This window comes from Homo sapiens, chromosome 6 (genome assembly GCF_000001405.40).
Source record: "Homo sapiens chromosome 6, GRCh38.p14 Primary Assembly".
Classification (NCBI taxonomy): Eukaryota; Metazoa; Chordata; class Mammalia; order Primates; family Hominidae; genus Homo; species Homo sapiens.
The window spans coordinates 30,150,631-30,175,314 of NC_000006.12; the positions used below are offsets into that span (position 1 = coordinate 30,150,631).

Sequence of the window (24,684 nt, forward strand, 5' to 3'; positions counted from 1 at the left end):
TCAGAGAAACATAAGATCCCAAATCTAAGAGCAAGACATTAGCCAAGGAAAGAACACCCCTGAAAGTGACAGCTAGCAATTTCTGCATCCCAGATGGAGTTAATGTCACCAAGAGAACTTGTACTAGGAGTAGGAGGAGACTGACAGCCCCCAGGGTCTCTCCTCAGGAGAGAATTCAGTTATACTGAAGATGCCTTCCAGGCCCCCCTTGGTCCCTTCTGACGTCACCACAGATGATCAGGCCAGGGGTGGGAGTCTGAACAGCAGATAATTGGCCAAACAAGTCTATGAGGTCACCTGTCAAGGAAGACCTTATCAAAGAGGGACAATAGTAATTAACTGAAACCATCAGGTCCTCTCGGAGATTCAGAAGGGATCCATGATGAATGTGTCATTAGTTGGCAAGAAGAGCAGACACAGAGAGAATCAGAGATGCATGTGCAGCCACGATGTATTGGAACAGGTGTCCATGACCCATGCTGCTGAGAGGCCGCAGGAATATCCAGTCTTCACGCTTCTTTGGACTTCGAGCCCACTTCTTACCGGTAGGTCCTGGGCATACAACATACCACTGCATAATGGTCATGAGCACAGACTCGGGAGCCAAACCACAAGACTTCAAATGCTGGCTCTGCGACTTACTATCAGCTGATTTGAGACCAGCTGCTCGGCCTCCACATGTCTCAGTTCTCTTATGTACAAGATGGGCACCTACCTCCTGAGGTTGTTGTGAGGATTAAATGAGTTAATATATACAAATATTTATTATGGTGTTTGGCCAAAATAAGTTCTATGTGTGTGATTGTTATCAGCATTTTTGGAATCTCTAGTTCTTCCTACAGGAACGAGTGGTGACCCCACCAACTCGCTCACGCCTGACATAGCTTCTCACGGGGCCTGGCTCATGGTGGAAAATCGCATTTTCCTTATTTCTGCTTTTATAATAAACTTACCTATCATTTGAACTAACTTGAGTGGGTCTCAGTTCTTTGCAATAGAAAGGGTTGCTACCATGTAAGCTTTGAAAAATGAGGTGTAAACTGTGGATGTTACAAATGTGCAACAGTCCTTCAGAGTCGGAAAGGGTAGCTGGGACTCTGGGGCCTCTAGACTTGAGCACTTCCTGGGGAGGGAACCCAGAGTCCCACTTCCGGCCAGCAGAGCAAGGAGGTTCATTAAGCTGCCTTATCTTGAAGTTACCAGGTTTTAGGATCTATCCACTTCCCCTGTGCTGACTCCATACTCCGAAAGCAAGTAAACTTCAAGTAAAATTACCCTAGGGGAGAAGCAGGTACTGACAGACCAACATGAGTGTTTTCACTTATGAGCAGTTTTATTTCTCAGTGTAAGACATATAAATTGTTCTCACTGACATATAACTATTAAAAGAAAAATAAAATAAAACAATTTAAAAAGAAGAAATATAAATTGTATTTCTGAATCCAAGTCACCTGTGGGGGTGTAGCCAGCATTAAAATAATCGCCAGGACCCATGCAGGCATCTATCTCTGAATGAGGCAGTGCAGCATAGCAGTTAAGAGCTCTTGGGTCAGACATGGATGAACTGGTTGCATGATCTTGGCTCGTTACCAAGATAAAGTGACACAAGGTGTGTAAAGCTCCCGAGCTGCAAGCCAGGATCTTCATACACATACATTTTAGAGGATAATAGTCCTTTCAAAAGACACAGCTAAAGCCAATAAAAATAAACAAAAATAGGATCTACTTTTCTGGAATCACAGGTTTGGGTGCTTTGGATATGTTTTATCATTATATAGGCACTTGTGTGTGTCTGTATTTTTTTGAATATACAACATTTTAATGAGATACTGCACACTCCCAGGGAAAGCAATTCAATCTCTAATCCCTGGCTTCTGATCTCCACCTCTTTTCTACCTGCTGAGGTAAGGATGAACAACAGAACTTCTCAATTGAATTCTAAGCTTGGGCCTAAGCACGCTGTGCCCTCTGCCTTTGAGTTTGCACCCTGGATGGCTCCCCTCCTCCCAGGAGACCCAGTAGGGAGATGACAGAGCATTGTAGTTTACACTGAGCAGAGTAAACAGATGATGTTAAGGAGACTGTCAGTGAAGGGCATGATTATGCAAAATAAAATACAATAGTGACAAGAACAAGAAAATAAAACATGGTCACTCTTCCATCCCATTTCTCAGATGTCACTACAGTAGTCTCAATTACGGTAGTCTCAATTCTTTAGACTAAAGTTCATAGGTCATCCAACTTATGCCCTGGCCTCCTTCTGGAATTCTTTTACCTAGCAGTTTCTGAGCCCACAGCTGAGCTATTTGTGACCCATTTGCTCCCACTATCTCATTTCTTGACCTCAGATGGTAATCAACTGATCAGGAAGACAATTTCCCTAGGGTTGAGTGTGGTCCCTGGGTTATGATTTATGGCTATACCTTATGTCCTCCTGCCCCCAGGCCCTGCACCTTAATCTCACCCAGAAGTGGCAACACCAGGAGGAAGGAGGCAGTGAGTGGCGTCGGCTGGGGATGGCACACATCTGCCCATAATGACAATGGAGACAACCCAGTGCTCCAGAGTCACAGGTCATCCAGCCAGTTCTCTGCTGTTTCCTCTTCTTAAGATGCTTCTTCCCCTCTTTTCCCTATTGACCATAGGCATCCTTTAGACCACCCTTTTCAGAAAGCCATCCCCCACTCACCCTCTCCTTCCAGGCTGGGCTATGCCCCTTCCCCTGAACTCCCATAATGCTGGGGTTGGACTTCCCGTAACACCCACCACACTGTGCTGTAATTTCCTCTTTATGTTTCTCTGTCTTCCCAAGAGCTCTTTCAGATATAGAGCAGGTTTTTTTTTTCTCTATATTTTCAAGTCACCAGTGGCCACCACACTGCTTGGTTCATAGTTAACACAAACTAAATGGTTCTAGAGAATGTGATTACATGAACTCTAACATTATTGGAAGAAAACAAGATGAAAAGAGGTGAGATGCCTTGTTTAAAGTCATACAACTGGTTGACAGGCTGGTTCAAGAACCCAGGTCTTCTGACTTCAAATCCAGTGCCCTTTCTATGCAGCTACTTCTGTGCCAAGCACGGATGGTGGTGAGCAGAACTGGCAGCAGCCTGAGTCCCCAGGTACCCTGGCCATCCACTGGGCATTGGGGAAAGGACTTGATCAGTAGATTGAGAGTCCTCTCTTCTATCCCTTACCACCCGGCCCCATCCCATCTTCTAAAGCAGTCATTTCTATTCCAAGTCATCCAGGTGATTCAGCCAGGGATCAAGTCCACATGGTACTTGGGTTGATATGAGTCCTGTACTTAGAGGAGAGTAGGTAACTGCTCCTTCTCAGGAGCTCAGGGAGAAACTGGACCCTCGGCCCCAGAGCCCAAAGAAGGGAATGACCTTCCTAGTGAAGGAGGCAGTGAAGGTGTAGATGGGCTCTCGGGTGACAGCGTTGGTGAAGGTCACCCAGCCCACCTCATAGTCAAGAGACACCCTCACCTGCCGGGGCTGCTCCTTCAGGGTCAGCCGTGTGGGGAAGGAGCCCAGAGCCGAGACGAAGCCCCAAGCCAGCCTCACAGCCCACACCCCCTCCTCTGGCCGCAGCCGAAGCTCCCCCTTCCGCTGCACATCCTCGCTCACCACGCCCACGGTGCAGCTGCCCCCATGGGCCAGGTCTATACTCACCACCCACGTGTGTCTCCCCCCTGTGATGCCAGTGTGGGCCAGAACACAGGTGGCCCGGTCAAAACGTTGGGGGTTGTCTGGTGAGTTCTGCCATTTGTAGGAGAACTGAGCTCGCTGGTGGTCCTCGGACAAGAGGAGCTTGGGGTGGGAAGTCTGAGGGTCTAGAGAAATGTGAGCTGTGGGGATAACCAAAAGGGACAGATGTCAGCAGACATGCTATTACCTCCAAGGAAGGCATAGAAACTCCCCCTGGGCCCCTCCTGTTAGTGTTATTATTACCAAAAACATGTATAGTGCCTACGTGGGCCAACAGTGTGGAACCACCTGGGAACTTGTTAGATATACGCTCTCAGAATCTGCATCCTAACAAGATGCCCAGGTGATTTGCACACAGGTAAAGCCTGAAAAGCCTGCCTCAGAGGATGTGAAAGCTCTCGTTTAGTTCAGTGTGGTCCTCGGGAAAGCTCTTCTGCTCACCGCAAGTTGGCTGGTTTCCAAAGCTGTGCGTGCCAGCTTGGATCTCCTGGGGCTGATATACCACATTCTCCCCTCCTCCCATCTCTATCCCACAGTGCAGCGACATTTCTCCCTTCAGTCCAAACTTCATGATTCCTCCCTGTTTTCCTCCCAGGGCACTGGTGACTCATTTACAGTCTTCCCTCCTGGCAGGCTCTCTGGCTCACCCCTGGGTTATTCACTCTGCCTCAGTAATTCTGAAACTGTCAGAGTCTGAGGACCACTTTTTACCACCAAAAACTGCTGCAGAGCCTTGCGTTTTGTTACTTTTAGTATTCATAAATTGAGAAGCTTCCATAAATTTAGGTCCATCTGTGGGTTAGAGAACCCCCTCCAACAACTCCGTGACTCCCAGGGTCTTAGGCTGGTTGATTGAGAAATGACAGCCTTGAAGGGGTCCATTCTGTTCATTTTTTTCCCACCCACAGGCCGCCCTCCTTCTGTCATCTGTGAAATGACATCTGAGAGGAAGCAGGGGTTCCTTACGTTCTAAAGAGGTGATTATAAACCCAGATCAAAGTCCCCTTTATCCAGAAAGCATTCCCAGATGGACTTTATCCCATTCTGCATTAATCTTTCTATCTACTCGACATGCGCAGATCAGGATGTGAGCTTCATACCACGAATGTAGTATGTGTATGTGCTTGTCCTTTCTTCATGTTTCTCCTGAGAGCCTTACAAACAATGTGACACACACACACACACAACCTATATATACACACATGTATTATATACACACACATATGTGTATATATAATATATATGATGTGTATATGTATCCATGGGTGTTTGTTATGACTATTGTCATAGTCATAACATAGTCATAGTGCAAATCCTGCAAAATTTTCTCTCCTTTCCGAGGACTTCTCATTCTCTCCCATCCTGACATAGGCTCCTTACCTGGCTCATAGTCCAACTCAAAGCATAGTTTTTCTGTAAAGAAAATAAACCAGGATGAGATTTTATTAGTCTTACAAAACCATCAGACACTTAATGATGAGAAAACTGAGGCCAAGAAGAGGGAAGGGACAAGAAGAAGAATGTAAGCTGGAATCCTCTAGACCAGTGGTTCCAAGCTTGCATCAGAATCATCTGGAGCTCTTGTTAAAACACATCTGTTTCAGATTCAGGTGCTCTGGGGTGGAGCTGAACATCTGTATTTCTAACAATTTCCTGGGCAATGCAGCTGCTGCTGCTGGTGGGAGCCCCACTGCCCTAGCCCTGATCAAACAGGGACCATGACTGCCTTGCTCACCTCTGTACCCGCAGAGCCCAGGACATAGTAAATGCTCAAGAAATATCTGCTTAGTGAATAGAGAAATGGGTTCATTTATTTATTATTCCACTTGGAAATAATTTTGGGGAGAGTCAAAGGTCAGCCTTTGATTAGAGTGAAATTTCCTTCACTGACAGGTCACTGGAAGTATTTGCAGGAAATGGAATTATGGGAAAAGTCCTTCTAGGGTGACATAACTGTGGGTGGGTCATTTCAAAATTGGTGTCATCATTCATTCTGTCATGGTTAGTGAGGAGGTGGTTGGCAGAGAGCCATGTCCCATTCCTGACTCTCATCCAAACCCTCCCCCACACCCTACCACCACTCCCTGTTCCGGAAAAGGAAGTGGAGCACAGTCCCCGTAGGACCGTCTAACTCTGAGCCAGACTAACAGAAAGAAAGTGAGAAGGAAGGAGGGACGAGCCAGATACCACAGGGTCAAGATAAATACTGTTGTTGGCTATTAATTAACAATGTTCATCATCAAAAACTTATCACATATTACAAATGTTGCTGTGGGATTTTTTAACTTATTAAGAATGATATATTGTTAATCATTATCTTTCATATTGCTTAATGACCACTAATCAGATTTGTTGAATTATTTTAAAATCAGTTTAACTTTTTCACCAGAAATATTCACCTTTATTCTCTTTCTTCATTGTCACAATATCCTAATAGGCAGATTTTATAAAAATCTGCAAATAAGGAAATCAAGGCACAGGAAGGAATAAGGCTTGCCAAAGTCACACCTTTCAGCAGTGGAGCGTGGAGGCCACTCCTAAACCCAGGCTTCATGGCCACCTGCGCTCTGTGGAGGCCTGGGGTTCTCTTACCCAGAAACATCTTCATCTCCCTCTGCAGCGGGAGGGCCTGCTGGGGAAAGTCCCGAATCCTCTGGCCCAGCTCTGGCGACACAGCCACCGGTTTCCGGCACTTTCTGGTTTCACATCTAGGGGCACAGAAATGGCTGGGTCTGGGAATTATCATCCTTAATAATGTCTCCAGACTCAGCTGGTCATCTTCTAATAGGGCATGATGGCGCTAGTTCCTGCAGGCAGACGTACTTCCTCTAGGATGAATCCCACTGCCCATTTTTGGGCATCTATGGATATACCTGAGAAGGCATTTGGGTATATAGAGGTTTATATGTAAATTTGTATCCTTAAGTGAGAATGTTATATACCTGTGTGGCAATAACTAGGCATGCAGTACATGTATGTATATTTATATGGAAAAAGAAAAGAGAGAAACTATATTGCTTACCTTATTAGAGTGCTTCTGATGTCCTAGGAGAAAGAGATACCAGAAATTCAGTTTCCAGCTTCTCCTTTCCATTTTTCTTTCCTTTCTTTTTCTACTTTTATTTTATTTATTTTTTATTTGCTTGTTTGTTTGTTTGAGAAAGGGTCTCACTCTGGTGCCCAGGCTGGAATACAGTGGCGTGATCATGGCTCACTGCATACTCAACCTCCTGGGCTCAAGGGATCCTCCTACCTCAGCATCTTGAGTAGCTGGGACTACAGGTGTTTGTCACCATGCCTGGCTAATTTTCTTTTTTTTTTTTTTTTTTTTTTTGTAGAGATGGGGTTTTGTTATGTTGCCCAGGCTCCTCCCACTTTTCTTATGACTGGAAAAGACAAAATATATTTCTAGCCCTGGACAGGAAAAGGATACCAGATGCATAGAGTCACAGAGCATTAGGACTCACCCATCTCTGTGGATCAGAGCCCAAAGCCTTTATTTTTTAGATAAAGATGGTGAAGTGACCTTCCCCTGCTCACTGGAGGCAAAGTAAGTCTCATACCAAGGTCTCCTGTTTCTCAGTCCTAAGAGCATCATTCTAAGTCATGCTGCCTTTCCAATACTTTGTGGGGACCCCAATACCTCTCCTCCAGTGTGAGGAAGTGAAATAGACCAGGACAAACTTCCTGACTGGTGGTTGGTGACATTTAGGTTATAGAGAATGGTTTGCAACTTACTTAATACTTTTTCAAAGTGCTACTTTCACTTCCATCTTACTGTTGGATCCTCACAAAAGCCCTGTGAAATATTTAAGGAAAGTATCTTCCCTATTTGGCAGATGGTGGGACGGAGAGGTGGAGACCAGAGAGCAAAAAGTGACCAGGGAACTCTTGGAAAAGCATGAACTAGAATTGAGACTTTCTGGTCCTCTGACCCACCTCCCATCTGGGATACAGAGATGTGTGAGTCAGGGAGACATGGCTTAGGCAAGACAAAGATGCAAGAGTCACAGGACAGCACAGGTGGGGCAGGGTTCCGGTTCAGGCCTCACCGTCAGGAGCTCCCTTGCTGGCCTCTCATTCTTCTCCTCCAGTTCTTCAATAAGAGCACTAAACCGGCAGATCTCCCCAGCAACCAGCAAATCAAATTCATCCCGTTGCCTCAAGATGTCCCCATCCTGGCTCTCCAATTGTGCTAAGAGGATGCTCTGCTGTTCCTCTAGAAACTTCCTCAGGTGTGCGAACTCAGAAATCACCTGTTGTCTCTTGGTGGACACCTGAGTCTGAGGGGGCAGGAGGCAAGCCCAAGAGAAAGTTTGCTTCCTCCTTCTCCCTCTGCTCCTCTTCCTCCCCTGTCCCCAGGTAGATCTGGAACTGTGTCATGGTTTCCTTTTCACTTGTCATCCCATTTCGAGAAGCAAGACTCACAGTGTTGTCTCAGCACCATCTGCTGCAGCTTCTAAAAGGGGTAGGGCTTACAGGAGGTGTAGGAGGAGGTGGTGGGGACACCCTACCTCCTGTCTTGTATGAAAAGCACATTATGTGCACAGCCCTGAGCTACTTTACAGTCACAATCTCATTTAATGCTTACAGTAATTCAATGAGGTCATGATGATTTTTACTCTCCATTTTACAGATAAGTAAACTGAAGTTGGAGAGTTGCTTGAGGTCATAGAGTTAGTGTCAGAGTCAGGATTTAAACTCATAATAACTTCAAAGCCCTATAATCTATGTTGCCTCAGTTTCAGGAAGACACTGGACCCTGAGGAAGGGGAGGAACCTGGGGAAGGGGTGATGACTTACCAGGAGGACTTGCATCCTTTTATTTTCTCTTGACTGGATTTCTTGAATCTCCTCTCTCTCTTTTCTTAGACATTTAAGACACTTATGGATTTGTTCCTGGGGAGAAGGAACATAAAATACTCAAGATGGAAAATGATTTGTTCAGGTTTGTCTGGTCATCTGACCCTCTGCCTCCAGGAATGAAATGGCCCCAGGAGAGGAGTCCCTTCCTTAGCTGACAATCCCCGAGCCTTCACCACCCTGACAGCTTACTCCCTTTGGGTCTTCTTCCTCTTGATTTGTCTCTAAGACTTTGGATCAGGACTTTCCCCCTTTATCCTGTGCCATTAGAGGCTGTGACTTGGTTTTCCCACTTGAGTCTTTCTTCAGGTTTAACATTCTATTGTGTTTTGCTTCGGGTAAGTGGTATCTGGGGTCTGTACTGAGTTTGATATGCCCCGCACTGAAATCATTCTGAGTTTCCGACTCATCCCAAAGGAACATGTGTAAATAACAACCCTCCCTTGTTACTGAAATCAATTATCTGTGTATGACTCCAGAGGGGAGAAGAAACTTGGGTAATGTAAAAATAATTGATAAATTGTTTTCAAAATTATTTGCTCCAGAATAGAGTTAGGAACAGGTACACACACGATAAATATGTGTGTTCAAAGATATATTAGAATTCTCACTATCAACTGCTAATTAACTAATTAAGACATCCACACACAGACTTGTACTAAAACATAATTCATAAGCACAATGCATAAACAACTAAAACCAGCACACATTCATTTAATGACAGATAAAATGGCATGCCACATACATTTACCCAGCCTGAATATATGTAAACACGAATTTATTCACAAACAGGAGCTCTCAGTTACACTTACACACTCAAATATATACATACTCAGACTCCCATCCAAACACACCAGACACACTTCTAAACATGCAAACATTAACACATATACACACTGTTTGTACAATCATTCCCTCAAATGCAAACTTCAGACACACCTGATCCATGGCACAGACACACACACTCATGTTTGGTCACTCATTCATTCAACAAGTACTTGTTGAACTCCCGTTATCTGTTGGCCACAAGTGAACACAGAACACACTCAAAAAAACATAAAACATAAACACAATTTTCCATGCCTGGGTCTATTGCCTGGGTGATCATGTAAGTAAGGAGAAAGAATTTGGCCTCCGGGTGGCCTAAATAATCCACAACTCTGCTGTTTCTCTTAGTCCAGTCCAGTCCACCCTGGGATCCCCCAGTTCCCCTTTCCTACCCTATAGGGAGCCGCTGCATCCTCCAGGAAGCGCATGGTGTGGGTAGCGTGCTCCCCAGCCTCCCGGCACACCACGCACAACTGCATCTCATCATCCTCACAGAAGAAGTAGATCTTCTCTCCGTGCTCTTGGCAGACATCCTCCTCTCCCAAACCCAGTGTGGACACCAGCTGGAGGCGCTCAATGTTCTCCACCACGTTAGCCAGCTGCCAGTTGGGCCGGAAGCTCCCAGGACGGAAGGGTTCTTTGCAGAGTGGGCAAGTAGGGGACTCCTCCAGGTCTGGGCCTGGTATCTCACAGTAGCGGGTAAGGCAGGCCCGGCAGAAGTTGTGGCCGCAGTCGATAGTGACCGGCTCCCTCAGGGTACCCTGACAGATGGGGCAGTTGACTTCATCTGCCAGGCTGGTCACAGAGGCAGCAGAGGCCATGCTGGTCCTGCTGCTATGGCTTCCTCAAGGCCACTCTCTCTGCTTGGCCACGGGGGAAGGGCTGGGTCACACACTCACACACCCACACATGCACATGGCTGGACACAGGCACATACTAAATATGCACCAGCACCCATATCGTCACACACTTGCATCTCTGGCAGCCAGGGTTCTATTCTCCTGCCAACAGCAGAGATGGGAAATAGCAGAGGAGAGGAAGGAAGAGGGGCTCACAGCATTTCAGAGGTGACCTTAGATGACCATAACCAGGGGCTGGCCATTCCTTTCTGCCCATCCAGAGACACTCACAGTAGAAGGAAAGTGGTGATATGTCAGCTGTCCACTGTCAGAAGAAATATTCTTTTGGGGGCAAGTGGGAGACTGGGTCACAGAGTGGAGATGCCATTCCAGCCTTTCTGCCATATGGCCAGCTGTCTCCAAAGAGATTGGAGGTATCAGCCAGCCCAGGGCTTGCCCATCAGCAAGCAGGAGAGTGTGGGGGCTCAGATAAGGTCCTTGTGCCAGGGTGTACACTGCACCAGCAACTTCAATGGTGATGCCTCAACTGGCCTGCTGCAGGCCTCAAAAGAGGCTGGAATATTCCCTATGATGGGGAGGAGAAAGAAAACTACTAACGGCCAGAATTTATTTACAATGACGGTACAACTTACATTGATACAAGCAATTTGGCCAGAATTTATTTACAATGACGGTACAACTTACATTGATACAAGCAATTTAAAAGTATGATCTTATTTCTGTGTCTGCTCTGCAACATCAGTGCTATTAGGATCTCCATTTCATAAATGAGAAAGCTGAGGCCCAGCCAGGTTATTCAGCTTGCCCTAGGCACACAAGTAAGAAGGTGAGTGACCATAAATAATTTGCTGTCAGATCTGTCTTCCGAGCAATGCTATTCAACATAAACGCAAAGTGAGCCACATATGCAATTTAAAATTTCCTAGTGGCCATATAAAAATAGTCTAAACAGGTGAAAGTAATTTTAATGATGTTATTTTATTTAGTCCTATATTTCCAAAATATTATCATTTCAATATGTGATCCATATAAAAAGTCATTAATAAGATATTTTACATTTTTAAATTTGTGAAAAGCCTTTGAAATCCGGTGTGTTGGCCGGGCGCGGTGGCTCACGCCTGTAATCCCAGCACTTTGGGAGGCCTAGGCGGGCGGATCACGAGGTCAGGAAATCTAGACCATCCTGGTTAACACGGTGAAACCCCGTCTCTACTAAAAATACAAAAAAATTAGCCTGGCGTGCTGGCCGGCGCCTGTAGTCCCAGCTACTCGGGAGGCTGAGGCAGGAGAATGGTGTGAACCCGGGAGGAGGAGCTTGCAGTGAGCCAAGATCGCGCTACTGCACTCCATCCCGGGAGACAGAGCGAGACTCCATTTCAAAAAAAAAAAAAAAGAAAAGAAAAAAGAGAAAAAGAAAAAGAAAAAAAAGAAATCCGGTATGTATTTTACATATACAGCATGCCGCCATTCAGACCGGCCACATTTCAGTGCTCAGTAGACACATGTGGCTGGTGGCTCCTGTATTGGACAAACTAGTTCCTGGGCTGCACTCGTGGCAGGAAGAGCAGAGATTGGATGGGAAGGGGAGGTAATAAAGTGATTAGAGTAAAAAGGGAGCAACCACAAGGGGCTAGGCTGATCACCCAGTGGGAGAATGGGGGAAGGCCTGGTTTTATCCACAGATGTGTGCATGGGTGAAGGACCGTGGCTGCAGATCTTGGTCTTGGCATGAGGTGTGGGAGGAGCGTAGGGCTTTAAGCCAGGAGACTGGGATCGTCCTTAACGTGATACTTTCTAGCTTTGTGACCTTTGGAAAGTCACTTTACATTTGGAAAGTCAGTTTACATTTCTTTCTCTGTAAAATGAAGGTAATAATGTTTGCCTAGAGGGTTATTAAAATTGAATGTAGTAATATAAAAATACTAAACCCTAGATAAATGTGGTTGAAACTGATTATCTGACTAATCGTTTTCTAATGTGTATCAACATAAATCATTTGCATTATGGTTTCTTGCCTTCTCCCCGCTACAGTAAAAATAAATAAATAAATAAATAAATAAATAAATAAATAAATAAATAAAATAGTCCAGTGTTACCCGAACCCCAAAGGGGACTGTTGTGCCAGGTGGTGGGGGATTTGGGACCGTAGGAGGGGCCACCATGGGCAGATGTGGTGAGGGAGGAAAGGAGAGCAGAAGAGGGGACCCGATGAGCAATCCTTACACCCTACCTGCAGTGTCGAAACAGCGTCCCGCCCACACACTTCCGGCAGAATCTCCCGAAGTCCACACCTCTCACTCCAGCCTGGACTTTGATGCTGTGGGCACGCCTCAGAGCCAGAAGTTTATGGCTCCCACCTGCTCAATCTGACAGGAAGCTTCTGCTCCCCAGTTCTCCCCAGCCACTGTGGTCTACAGATTCCAGGAAACCCATCCCCCTGTGACCTCATGGTGTGCTCTGTTCTCCACCCTAGGGACCAGAAGGAGCCAGGAGTAAAGAACTGGCTTACTTGGCCGCCACTGGGAAATTCTGGGTAATTCGAGACGCCCTGGAATTTGGACCCACTCCGCTGATAGGTGGTGGCCAGGGTTCTAGGGAACACAAGAGGCGGAGCCAGGTGGCTTCCCTGTGCTGGCATTCTTGCCTCTCTCTCTCTTTCTCTCTCTCTGTCTCTTAGCCTTGCAGCCGTTTCCCTCTGCGATTCATGTAAGTGTGACTCGATTTCAGGGAAAGGGAACTCGCGTGGGCTGAGGAGACCGGAGTGGACGGGCTGGGGAAGGCACCGTGATGCCCGCAACCCCGTCCCTGAAGGTGGTCCATGAGCTGCCTGCCTGTACCCTCTGTGCGGGGCCGCTGGAGGATGCGGTGACCATTCCCTGTGGACACACCTTCTGCCGGCTCTGCCTCCCCGCGCTCTCCCAGATGGGGGCCCAATCCTCGGGCAAGATCCTGCTCTGCCCGCTCTGCCAAGAGGAGGAGCAGGCAGAGACTCCCATGGCCCCTGTGCCCCTGGGCCCGCTGGGAGAAACTTACTGCGAGGAGCACGGCGAGAAGATCTACTTCTTCTGCGAGAACGATGCCGAGTTCCTCTGTGTGTTCTGCAGGGAGGGTCCCACGCACCAGGCGCACACCGTGGGGTTCCTGGACGAGGCCATTCAGCCCTACCGGGTAAGAAGTGTAGCTTTACCTAGGGCCTGTTTGGGGCAGGATGATGTCCTGTTATGAGGGGAGGAAATCGGGCGGGGATCTGGATGAAAGGCTTCCACATCAGGGAACCCTAAGGTTACAGGGACTTTCGAGGCATTCCCAGACTGAAGGCAGATAGGGCTCCACTTGGATGTGTGGTAGTTCCTGGTCTGGGGGGAACTTCAGCTCCAGCTCTCAGAGGACCCCACAGAGGTGGAGTGCAAAGAACTGTAGCCTTGGCTTCACTCACTATGGAAAGAAAGCTCCAATGCCGAGTGGGATCTTCTGCAGATTATGGGCAGGGTAAACTTGTTCTCCCAGGATCCAGACTGGAAATGGGGTTTATAGGGCCCTGACTGCCAGGGCGCAGAGGGGAGGGAGGAGCTGGGAAGGGGAACCTGCTAGCACTGCTCTTCTTCTTGAGAAAGGGAGGGTGGCAGTAGTCCAGAATTGTGAGAATTCCCCATCTGGCCTTGGGGCACTTTCCTGTCAGCCTCTCAGATCTCTCTCTTGTCATCCAGTCACCAGGTCTGGAAGTGGTTACCTTAGAAACATCTCCCAAATCTTTAATTCTGCCTTATCCTCACAGCCAGGTTCTCCCTATCTCTTGCGCAGACTTTGCAGTCTCCATGGCATTTCCTGTCTCCATTCTCACCCTTTCCAGTCACCTTCCAATCTGCTGGGAGACAGATCCTCCTAAAACACAAAGTCACTCATCTGCACAAAATCCTCCCATGTATACCTAGTGCCCAAAGAAAGTCCAAGGTCTTTAGCAAGACATTCAAGGCCCTTTGCAGTCGGGATCCTTCCTCCCTGTCCGGCCTCATCGCTCAGCCTCCCTCCTCAAGGCACCACGTGTCTGGCCAGACTGAGCTGCACTTGCTGTTTTTTCCTGAGTTGTCTTATTCATTCCTGCTTCCAATACTTTTTGCACATAGTCTCTTCCTCCTAGAATACTCTTCTCCCTTCCTCCCACCTCTCTCTCTGTTTTTAAGTATACAATTCAGGGGCACTAAGTCCTTTTCTTTTTTTTTTTATTATACATGTTCTGGGATACATATGCAGAACGTGCAGGTTTGTTACATAGGTATATACGTGCCATGGTGGTTTGCTGCACCCATCAATCCATCATCTACATTAGGTATTTCTCCTAATGCTATCCCTCCCCTAGTCCCCCAAGCCCTGACAGGCCCCGATGTGTGATGTTCCCCTCCCTGTGTCCATGTGTTCTCATTGTTCACCTCCCACTTATGAGTAAGAACATGTGGTGTTTGGTTTTCTGTTCCTGTGTTAGTTTGCTGAGAATGATGGTTTCCAGCTTCATCCATATCCCTGCAAAGGACATGAACACATCTTTTTTATGCCTGCATAGTATTCCATGGCATATATGTGCCATATTTTCTTTATCCAGTCTATCATTGATGGACATTTGGGTTGGTTCCAAGTCTTTGCTATTGTGAACAGTGCTGCAATAAACATATGTGTGCATGTGTCTTTACAGTAGGATAATTTATAATCCTCTGGGTATATACCCAGTAATGGGATTGCCAGGTCAAATGGTATTTCTCATTCTAGATTCTTGAGGAGTTGCCACACTGTCTTCCACAACGGTTGAACTAATTTACACTCCCACCAACATTGTAAAAGCATTCTTATTTCTCCACATCATCTCCAGCATCTGTTATTTCCTGACTTTTTAATGATCACCATTCTAACTGGTGTGAGATGGTATCTCATTGTGGTTTTGATTTGCATTTCTCTAATGACCAGTGATGATGAGCTTCTTTTCATAGGTTTGTTGGCCACATAAATGTCTTCTTTTGAGAAGTGTCTGTTCATATCCTTCACCTACTTTTTGATGGGGCTGTTTGTTTTTTTCTTGTAAATTTGTTTAAGTTCTTTGTAGATTTTGGATATTAGCCCTTTGTCAGATGGATAGATTGCAAAATGTTTCTCCCATTCTGTAGGTTGCCTGTTCACTCTGATGATAGTTTCTTTTGCTGTGCAGAAGCTCTTTCATTTAATTAGATACCATTTGTCAATTTAGGCTTTTGTTGCCATTGCTTTTGGTGTTCTAGTCATGAAGTCTTTGCCCATGCCTATGTCCTGAATGGTATTGCCTAGGTTTTCTTCTAGGGTTTTTATGGTTTTAGGTCTTACGTTTAAGTCTTTAATCCATCTTGAGTTAATTTTTATTTCAGGTGTAAGGAAGGGGTCCAGTTTCAGTTTTCTGCATATGGCTAGCCAGTTTTCCCAACACCATTTATTAAATAGGGAATCCTTTCCCCATTGCTTGTTTTTGTCAGGTTTGTCAAAGATCAGATGGTTGTAGATGTGTGGTGTTATTTCTGAGGCCCTTCTTCTGTTCCATTTGTCTATATGTCTGTTTTGATACCAGACATATTTGATATCATATACTACAGCCTTGTAGTATAGTTTGAAGTCAGGTAGCATGATGCCTCCAGCTTCATTCTTTTTGCTTAAGATTGTATTGGCTATGTGGGCTCTTTATTGGTTCCATATGAAATATAAAGTAGTTTTTTCTAATTCTGTGAAGAAAGTCAATGGTAGCTTGATAGGGATAACACTGAATCTATAAATTACTTTGGGCAGTATGGCCATTTTCACAATATTGATTCTTCCTATCCATGAGCATGGAATGTTTTTCCATTTGTCTGTGTTCTCTCTGATTTCCTTGAGCAGTGGTTTGTAGTTCTCCTTGAAGAGGTCCTTCACATCTGTGGGCACTAAGTCCTTTTCTCTCCCTCTCTATTCAACTGGAAATTTATCTTTCAAGGCACATTGTAAATGTTTTCTGCTTTCCAAACCTTCCCTTAGGCCTACAGGCAGAGCTGACCTCTGTGTTCCCATCTCACTGTGTGTACCCCTGGACTATTGCATTTATCTATCTGTATTTTAATCACTTGACATTGACTTCTTCCTGAGATGGTGGTCTCTTTAGGGCAAGGACTGGGCCTTTTCCACCTTTGAACCCCTCAGCACTCAACAGTGTGCCCAGGATGTGATAGTTAATAATTGTGAGTTGAATTATTAATTCAGTCACCTCTATCCACCCATTCTTCTCCCCACAGGATCGTCTCAGGAGTCGACTGGAAGCTCTGAGCACGGAGAGAGATGAGATTGAGGATGTAAAGTGTCAAGAAGACCAGAAGCTTCAAGTGCTGCTGGTACAGGCCACGTCACTGGCTACCTTTTCCTTTGAAGGTTTTCTTAAGAGACTCTGGGGAAACCCGTTGGCTGGTATCTGTTTCCTGGCTGAAAAGAACTGACAAACTGTTCTCGTTCACCTTCCTGTGGCTGCACAAAGGCATTTGGGATCTCAGACCATGAGCACTAGAAGTGGTTCTGATGTCTTGCAATCCAAGATCCATCTTGTATATCACATTTTACAGAGCAGAAAACTTAGGACCAGAAAAGCAATGCTCCCAAGGCCACATAGCAAAGCTGAAGTTCATGAGGAACCTGGATTTCTTGACCCTTAATTCATTGTTCTTTCCATCCTAGTCTGTTTGCCTGAACACACCACCTTCAGATGGGAAGCTTGGGGTCAAAAACATATGTTAGTGTCGGGATTCTAGTCCTGACTACAGGCTGACCTTGAGGAGAGTAGGCTGATGGTGTGGCTACATCTGGATCCCTCACGCCTCTCTTTTCATGCTATAAAGTTATGGAGGAATCACAGTGTGAGGATTTCTGGTACCTTGACCAAGGAGAGAGTGTGGGGACAAAGCAACCTATCCACCATCCCTCAGCTCTCATCAACGTATGCCCTGTAGTTGGTGATTTCCACGGCTAAAACCAAAATTACACACTCTCCCACTAAGTTGTGTTGACTCCAATCACAACTTCCTTTTGCCTCTAAGAAATTATTACAGTCTTCCCCACCTAACTCTAAGAAGGCATAGTAGGGTTATGATGGTATTGTAGTTGTGGAAATATTTTTGAAAAGTTCAACATCATTCTGAGAGCATAATGTAGCATTATTATTAGAGTATCTAGCTAAGACAGTAGCACAGCCCTCATCATTGGTAAGTTCATCCTGAGACCTAACTACTTCTAGGCATATTAGTAAATGGAATGAGTCTTGGACCAGTTGCTCCCTATCCCTGTTAATCAATAATAAGTATATAGATGATCATCCTGGAAGCTATCTCTGAGCCCCTTCCTAACCATGTCTGCCTTTTATCCCTTGAAGACTCAGATCGAAAGCAAGAAGCATCAGGTGGAAACAGCTTTTGAGAGGCTGCAGCAGGAGCTGGAGCAGCAGCGATGTCTCCTGCTGGCCAGGCTGAGGGAGCTGGAGCAGCAGATTTGGAAGGAGAGGGATGAATATATCACAAAGGTCTCTGAGGAAGTCACCCGGCTTGGAGCCCAGGTCAAGGAGCTGGAGGAGAAGTGTCAGCAGCCAGCAAGTGAGCTTCTACAAGTGAGAGACACTTCACCACTTTGTAGGATAAGAGAGGGACTCCACGGGGAAGGGGGTGGGCACCATGCTTTGGGCTGGAGAGAGGCAGGAAAGGGAAGTGGAGAGAGGTTAACGGGGTGCAGATCCAGAGGGGCTGGAGACTTGCCCAAGTCATACACTGTGGTCATGTTAAGGGGTTTAGGGTCAGACAGTCTTGGATTTGAATGTTGGCTCTTCCAATTGTGTGACTTGAGTGAGTCTCTTAGCCTCTCTAAACATGGGGACAGCAATAGCACCTCCCTCATAAAGTTATTGCAAAATTATAAGAAACAATCCATAAAAAATGCTTGGCATGATTCCTGATATACAGAAAGAACTCAATAACTGGTGTCTGCTATGGTTATGAATATGTGATCCTGGCTCACATCAGGTCCAGCTGATAACTGAAGGCAGGCCCCTGCTCTCTACCACCTCCTAATCATTGCAGACACAACCCACCCCCACGATAAGGCTGAAACAGGGAAACCAGCACAAATGAACTGACTACAGAAACCCAAATTAGTAAGAAAACATGATGTAAAAGAACAATCTAATGAGTAGGTAATTAAACAGGACAACTCTCTGCAGAAGGAGAGTTTTGAGTTCATATTTTAAGGGAAAAGTGATGTACAGAATCCCTGACAGGAAGGACTTATGGAAACTAAATGTATGTTCTTGTCTTTCTTTTGCAGGATGTCAGAGTCAACCAGAGCAGGTAGGGCCCACTCCCCGGTCCTGCCTCCTTTTACTCAACATCAAGACTGAATGGGAAGGGGCAGGGGCACTTACTGCCACCCACTTTGCCAGGAAAGCAAAGGCACTCTGGCAGACACACTGTCTCATTCAACTGTGCACAAACAGTCCAAACTCACTAAAGATTTGCGTTCTAAAGGTTCATTTTTAAATTGATTGGTTGGTATTGGGGACACATTTTTTCCCCTAGAAGTGAAGTTATAAATAATAATCATGTTTTTAGGTTGATCCAGGAACATTTATTTAATCTATGAAATTATTAGTACTTGAGTCAGTATCTAACACCATTTAAAATGTAATTTAAAGGGGGAATACTTTCTGTAGACTATGATAAGCATGGAAACCAGGAATACCAGCCTGTTCTTTCATTCATTCATTTTTTACACACATCTCTGGTTTCCTTCAGAATTTTCTAATGCTACTGTAAAAGGACAGCCACCAGGAGCCAGTGGCATTGTAAATGCATGGCCCTTTCCTTCCCTGTCTGCTATAAGCATTAGCAGTCTGCACTGAGATGAAGAGAGGTGTAGTGACTAGGGAACAATTGTCACGTGCTTTGTGCCTATTCCCGTGCAGGGAGGATAAACCCAGGGTCCATGAATCAGGAAGTGTCTCCAAACATGCTTTTCAAAGAGCATTAGAGGTTTAGATCTAGAAGGGCTTGGAGGTCTTCCAGTCTGAGGAAGAAACTGAGACCCAGGGGGTGAAGAGTCTTCAAGGTAATGCAGCAAGTGTCTAATGAGGACTGAGCTGGGACCAGAATCAGGAGTTTTTTTCATTGCAATATATATTTTCGTTGATCCTTTTTTTTTCTTCCCTTCTAGCCTCTTTTCCTTTACAAATAGCAGCATACACAAGGGTAGTTTAAGGCTGTTTTCAAATGGTACCCTGTTGCCCTCTAGAGACCAAAAGGGGTAATGATCTCTGTCCCTCAGCCCCTACAGAACCAAACATTCTCCTAAAGGGGCTTACCTCCAATTCTTGAGAAGTGATTATCCTTAGTTCCTCTTAGGTTTAACTGAAATGCCTACTATTTTAGTAACTACACATTTCCAGCAAAAGTAAAGAAATGATACTCAATTTCATTATTCACCACAGACGCCAAGATCATTCTTTAGTCTGATTTTAGCCTCACGTGGTCTCACCCGAACATTTGTTTTTGGAATTTGGACCTAACTGGTTACCAAACCTGTCTGCAGGTGTGAGATGAAGACTTTTGTGAGTCCTGAGGCCATTTCTCCTGACCTTGTCAAGAAGATCCGTGATTTCCACAGGAAAATACTCACCCTCCCAGAGATGATGAGGATGTTCTCAGGTAAAGGGGAAGGCGCCACAGTTTTCCCCAGTCCCATTAGCTGCCCTCCTGTCTTCCACCCATCTCCATCCTTCTCTGCCCTTGAAACCTGGCTCGAGACATCTTCCCTCCCCAGAGCCTTCCCTTAGTGATCTCAATTTATTCAGGGGCACTATTCCCAGAGCATCTCCTCCACTCCCTAAGGACAGGTGCAGGACTGAGAGTCCAGGAGGGTGAGGACCCTTCTCCTCCACTAGACCACAGCAGAAGCCGAGTCTTCTGTCCTCATCTTCACATTGTACTCAAGTCACCTTGCCCCTGGGGGTGCCTATAAGAAGTAATAAGTCACAGATCTCTCTTTCTATTTCTGCTTCCCTCAGAAAACTTGGCGCATCATCTGGAAATAGATTCAGGTAAACAGCTTGGGATTTGGGGAGTCATTCTTCCATTCATCCATTCAATCCATGGCAGCAAACAGAGCAATAAAATGCATGAATTCTGGAGCTTGATTGCTTGAGTTCTCGATTCCAGTTCTTGCTAGCTCTGAGACACTGGGCAAGTTATTAAGCCTCTGTCCCACAATATTTTCTTCATCAGTAAAATGAAAATAAAAGTACTGTACCTGTCCCATAAGTAGCTGTGAGGACAAAATAAATTAATACATGCAAAGAGCTTAGTATATTACCTGACTCATAGTAAGTGCTCAATTAATGTCATCTACTTGTGTAGATATTACTCGTTGAAAAATACTTATCAAGCCCTAGTTTTTTGAGAGCATTGTGCTGGGCTCTCTACTGATTTGAACAAAAAATGTGCAATTTTTTAAAAATCACATTTATTTTTAAATTGGTGCTTAATTTAGAAGTTGTTTCCATAAGCATCACCTCACTCACTCTGGTATAGGTAAGTGCTTTTCAAACTTAATATGCAGAAACGTCTCCTAGGGATCCTGTTAAAATGCAGATTCTGATTTAGTAGGGTGGGATGGGGCCCAATATTCTGCATTTCTAACAAACACCCAGGTGGTGGGGATGCTGCTGGTCCCTCCCGCTGCACTTTGAGAAGCAAATCCTTAACAGCACCACTTGCTGATTAGGTAGAAGGGCGGTTCAGAGAAGTGGCCCAATGGCAGGCTGCCCAAGTCCAGTACTCCTTCTGCCTCCCACGTGCGTTGCCTGCTCTAGGAACATCTGTGGTTGCCGCCCGCTGTTGATGTCTGCGCGCTCCTCCCTCTAGGGGTCATCACTCTGGACCCTCAGACCGCCAGCCGGAGCCTGGTTCTCTCGGAAGACAGGAAGTCAGTGAGGTACACCCGGCAGAAGAAGAGCCTGCCAGACAGCCCCCTGCGCTTCGACGGCCTCCCGGCGGTTCTGGGCTTCCCGGGCTTCTCCTCCGGGCGCCACCGCTGGCAGGTTGACCTGCAGCTGGGCGACGGCGGCGGCTGCACGGTGGGGGTGGCCGGGGAGGGGGTGAGGAGGAAGGGAGAGATGGGACTCAGCGCCGAGGACGGCGTCTGGGCCGTGATCATCTCGCACCAGCAGTGCTGGGCCAGCACCTCCCCGGGCACCGACCTGCCGCTGAGCGAGATCCCGCGCGGCGTGAGAGTCGCCCTGGACTACGAGGCGGGGCAGGTGACCCTCCACAACGCCCAGACCCAGGAGCCCATCTTCACCTTCACTGCCTCTTTCTCCGGCAAAGTCTTCCCTTTCTTTGCCGTCTGGAAAAAAGGTTCCTGCCTTACGCTGAAAGGCTGAAGTGGGGCGCGCGAAGGGCGGCGAAGCGGAGACGGCGGCTCTCCGGGATCCAGCTCCGCCCCTGGCCAGTGTGCGGCCCGGGGGCTCCCTGTGCCCGCGTGAGGCGAGAGAACAGGGGACTTGAGTCTCGAACAGCGGTTGTTTTTACTTTATTTATCTTAGGCCCTCAGCTCCCTGACGTCCTGAGCCTCCCTGTGACGCTCTGGCCTTCTCTGTACCTCAGAGTGCAGAACCACAGACGGCTTCGGCTGTGCCTAGGGCAACAGCCAACCTAGGAGCCAGCGGGCTTTCGGGGAAAAAAAAGAAAAAGACATCTAAAATAAAATGTTTAAACTGTTTCAAAATAATTATCTTGGGAAAAATCAGGGTTTTGCTGGACTTGCACTAATTTGTACAGTTAACTTCGTACTTTGACACACACCTGAAGATGCCTCCACCTTTGTAGGGCTTAGGGCCTTTTTATCAGCCCTGGGTGGACCCCAGGGCCCCTTCCTTTCCCTTCCCTTCTGGTCATTTCTCTGGACTTGTAGAGAATGTCCTAAGAAAGTGTGACTCACAGACCTCTGGATTCCATGTGTCCAATTAGCGCTGATGGGACTGGAGAAAGGCTTAAATCCAATGGGATCTGCCTGTGTTGGCAATTTAGGGCCGAGATGGCTCGAGGGAGTAGATGCAGAGAGGAAGGGTGATGATCCCTCTGTGACCAAGACACAATCCTGTCCCTTCTTTTAGTCAGGATATCCCTGATGACAGACAGTGGGACAATCACCAGGCCCCATTGTTTAAGAAAACGAGGCTTTTGCTCAGGTCTAACTAACCTCTCAAATATTTGTTATTACTGCAGTTATTATTTGGACACAGAAACAGACCACAGGTTAAAATAACTTTAAAAAGCAAAGTATTAATCCCTATACAAGTGATGTTTCCTTCCACCCCTACCCTTTCTCCTCTCAAGTTGAACACTCACATTCTCACCCTTCCACCCCAACCTCTGAAAAAAATCTGCCTTCAACTCCAATCCAGGTTCCCTGTAGTGTAAGACAATACCCTGTGTACAAGAACACTTTAGGGTCGGCACGGTGGCTTGCGCCAGTAATCCCAACACTTTGGGAGGCTGAGGCAGGTAGATCACTTAAGGTCAGGAGTTTAAGACCAGCCTGGACAGCATGGTGAAACCCTGTCTCTATTAAAAATATAAAAATTAGCTGGGCGAGATGGCAGGCGCCTGTAATCCCAGCTGCTCAGGAGGCTGAGGCAGGAGAATCACTTAAACCAGGGAGGCGGAGGTTGCAGTGAGCTAAGATCAAGCCACTGCATTCCAGCCCGAGTGACGGAGTGAGACTCCATCTCAAAAAAACAAAAAACAAAAAACAGGCTAGGCGCGGTGGCTCACGGTGGTAGGCCGAGGCAGGTGGGTCACCTGAGGTCAGGAGTTTGAGCCTGGCCAACATGGTGAAACCCCATCTCCACTAAATATACAAAAATTAGCTGGGTGTGGTGGCAGACCAGCTACTTGGGAGGCTGAAGCAGGGGAATCACTTGAACCCAGGAGGCAGAGGTTGCAGTGAGCTGAGATTGTACCACTGCACTCCAGCCTGGGTGACAGAGTGAGACTCTGTCTCCAAGAAACAAACAAACAAATAAAACAAAGAACATCTTCATTATTGCGTAAGCCCTGCTCCTAAAGCATGGGTCAGATGTTTTAAAAGCACTCAAAGAGTTTGGACCATATGTGAATTTTATTTAAAAATTGTAACATGAATCAATGTGATGTGAATAATTAACCCTAACTTGACTGTTGGGGAAATAGAGGTTCTTGATATAAAAGAAGCCAGACAATGTGGGGTTTCTTCTGCCCCCCAGTGTGGTGAGCAGAGCCATCCTTATCTGACCCAAGTGGCTTGGTAGTCCAACCTAGTAGTAGTAGTAGTGGTAGTAGTAGTAGTATTGCCCAATGCTTATTATAAAAGTTGTATATGCTCATGGTTAAGAAAATTCAAACATTTTCAAAGTGTATAAATAAAAACCTCTTTCCCCACCCACTCAACACTTCCCCTTGCCACTCCCCATAGTTAAACATTGATATCAATTTTTTGTATATCCTGCAAGTTTTGAATACAAATATATATTGCTTTCTCTTTTTTTTACATAAATTAGATTATGCCATAAGTATTCTTTGCAACCCCTCCAAAAGAAAAACTATGTGCAACACATGCTAATTGTACCATTGGTCAAATTTGTTTTAATTATATCTTCATTTGAACCTTACAACAAGCCTGTGAAATACATAAGACCTATTTTGTTTTTCTCATGTGGTGGTTGAGAAAACTGGCACACAGTTAAATGAACTTGTCTAACAATTTTCACAGCTGGTCCTTGTGACCTGCTGAAGTAGAATCTACCTGTCCTGGAGCTCAGTGCAGTCACATTTCCACCACACTCAGACTTCTAAAACAGACACATCCCAATGGGGCTATGTTTCATTTGCTACCCATTGAATTCATGTTTTAGACAGGGCATTTTTGGTTTCATATGAAACAGAAAAAAGAAAAAAAGAACCGATGAACCATAAGCACACTGTATTTCCAAGTCTCTGGTACTTCTAATTTTAGAGTGGTCCAGATAATTTAAAAGTGTGGATATGCACATTTGGAGGCTTTGTGCCTATATTAATAAATTGTTCTGCATAAGAAAGGAAAGAGAAATTTAGAAGCCAAAAGAAATTTGGGAGTGGCTAAGACCTCAGGGTGAGGACTGAGAGCTGCCTGAAGGAAAAGCAGAGGAAAATTATTCATTTGGTGGTCCAGCTGGAGCCACAGGATGGCTGTGTTCCTGTGTTTGTGATGTAAAACTGTCCTCTATCTCCCCTACAAGATCCTCTGCACAACCTGCCTTGCCCCTAATGCTTTTTGTAGGTGTTCCTGAATTCCAAGTGCTGAGTTCTGTCCACTACTGGGCAGGAGGC

The 24,684-nt window shown here is 46.0% G+C and overlaps 2 protein-coding genes across 12 annotated transcripts, besides 1 other annotated feature; one reads left to right on the forward strand and one right to left on the reverse strand.

Moving 5' to 3' along the window:
• TRIM10 (tripartite motif containing 10) lies at positions 1,313 to 13,379 on the reverse strand. Of its 8 annotated transcripts, XM_011514223.3 has the most exons (10): positions 12,498 to 12,798; positions 10,952 to 11,073; positions 10,538 to 10,832; positions 9,800 to 10,168; positions 8,520 to 8,615; positions 7,769 to 7,999; positions 6,739 to 6,761; positions 6,309 to 6,424; positions 5,097 to 5,129; positions 1,313 to 3,856 (listed from the first exon to the last, which is right to left on the reverse strand). In XM_011514223.3, exons 3-10 carry the CDS (start codon positions 10,649 to 10,651, stop codon positions 3,339 to 3,341), a joined length of 1,500 nt encoding a protein of 499 aa, XP_011512525.1. In that variant the 5' UTR covers positions 10,652 to 10,832; positions 10,952 to 11,073; positions 12,498 to 12,798; the 3' UTR covers positions 1,313 to 3,338. The 8 variants fall into 8 exon arrangements, with proteins under 8 accessions (XP_011512525.1, XP_047274007.1, XP_047274008.1 ...); XM_047418051.1 differs by adding an exon at positions 13,301 to 13,379 and having other exon boundaries at positions 10,538 to 12,736; XM_047418052.1 differs by adding an exon at positions 13,301 to 13,372 and having other exon boundaries at positions 10,538 to 12,596.
• TRIM15 (tripartite motif containing 15) lies at positions 12,916 to 22,063 on the forward strand. Of its 4 annotated transcripts, XM_011514987.2 has the most exons (8): positions 12,916 to 12,973; positions 13,372 to 13,435; positions 16,546 to 16,641; positions 17,670 to 17,900; positions 18,611 to 18,633; positions 19,871 to 19,986; positions 20,346 to 20,378; positions 21,202 to 22,063. In XM_011514987.2, coding segments are annotated over exons 1-8 (1,083 nt in total). In that variant the 5' UTR covers positions 12,916 to 12,971; the 3' UTR covers positions 21,720 to 22,063. The 4 variants fall into 4 exon arrangements, with proteins under 4 accessions (XP_011513289.1, NP_150232.2, XP_047275459.1 ...); NM_033229.3 differs by having other exon boundaries at positions 12,916 to 13,435; XM_047419503.1 differs by lacking the exons at positions 20,346 to 20,378; positions 21,202 to 22,063 and having other exon boundaries at positions 12,916 to 13,435; positions 17,670 to 17,886; positions 19,871 to 19,963.
• Positions 21,116 to 21,665: an enhancer, noted in NCBI's record as "H3K4me1 hESC enhancer chr6:30139523-30140072 (GRCh37/hg19 assembly coordinates)". NCBI's record gives its function as "activates a minimal SCP1, AML or CMV promoter by ChIP-STARR-seq in primed H9 embryonic stem cells {active_cell/tissue: H9 hESC(primed)}" and the evidence as "EXISTENCE:reporter gene assay evidence [ECO:0000049][PMID:30033119]".
• Positions 22,064 to 24,684: the final 2,621 nt, after the last annotated feature.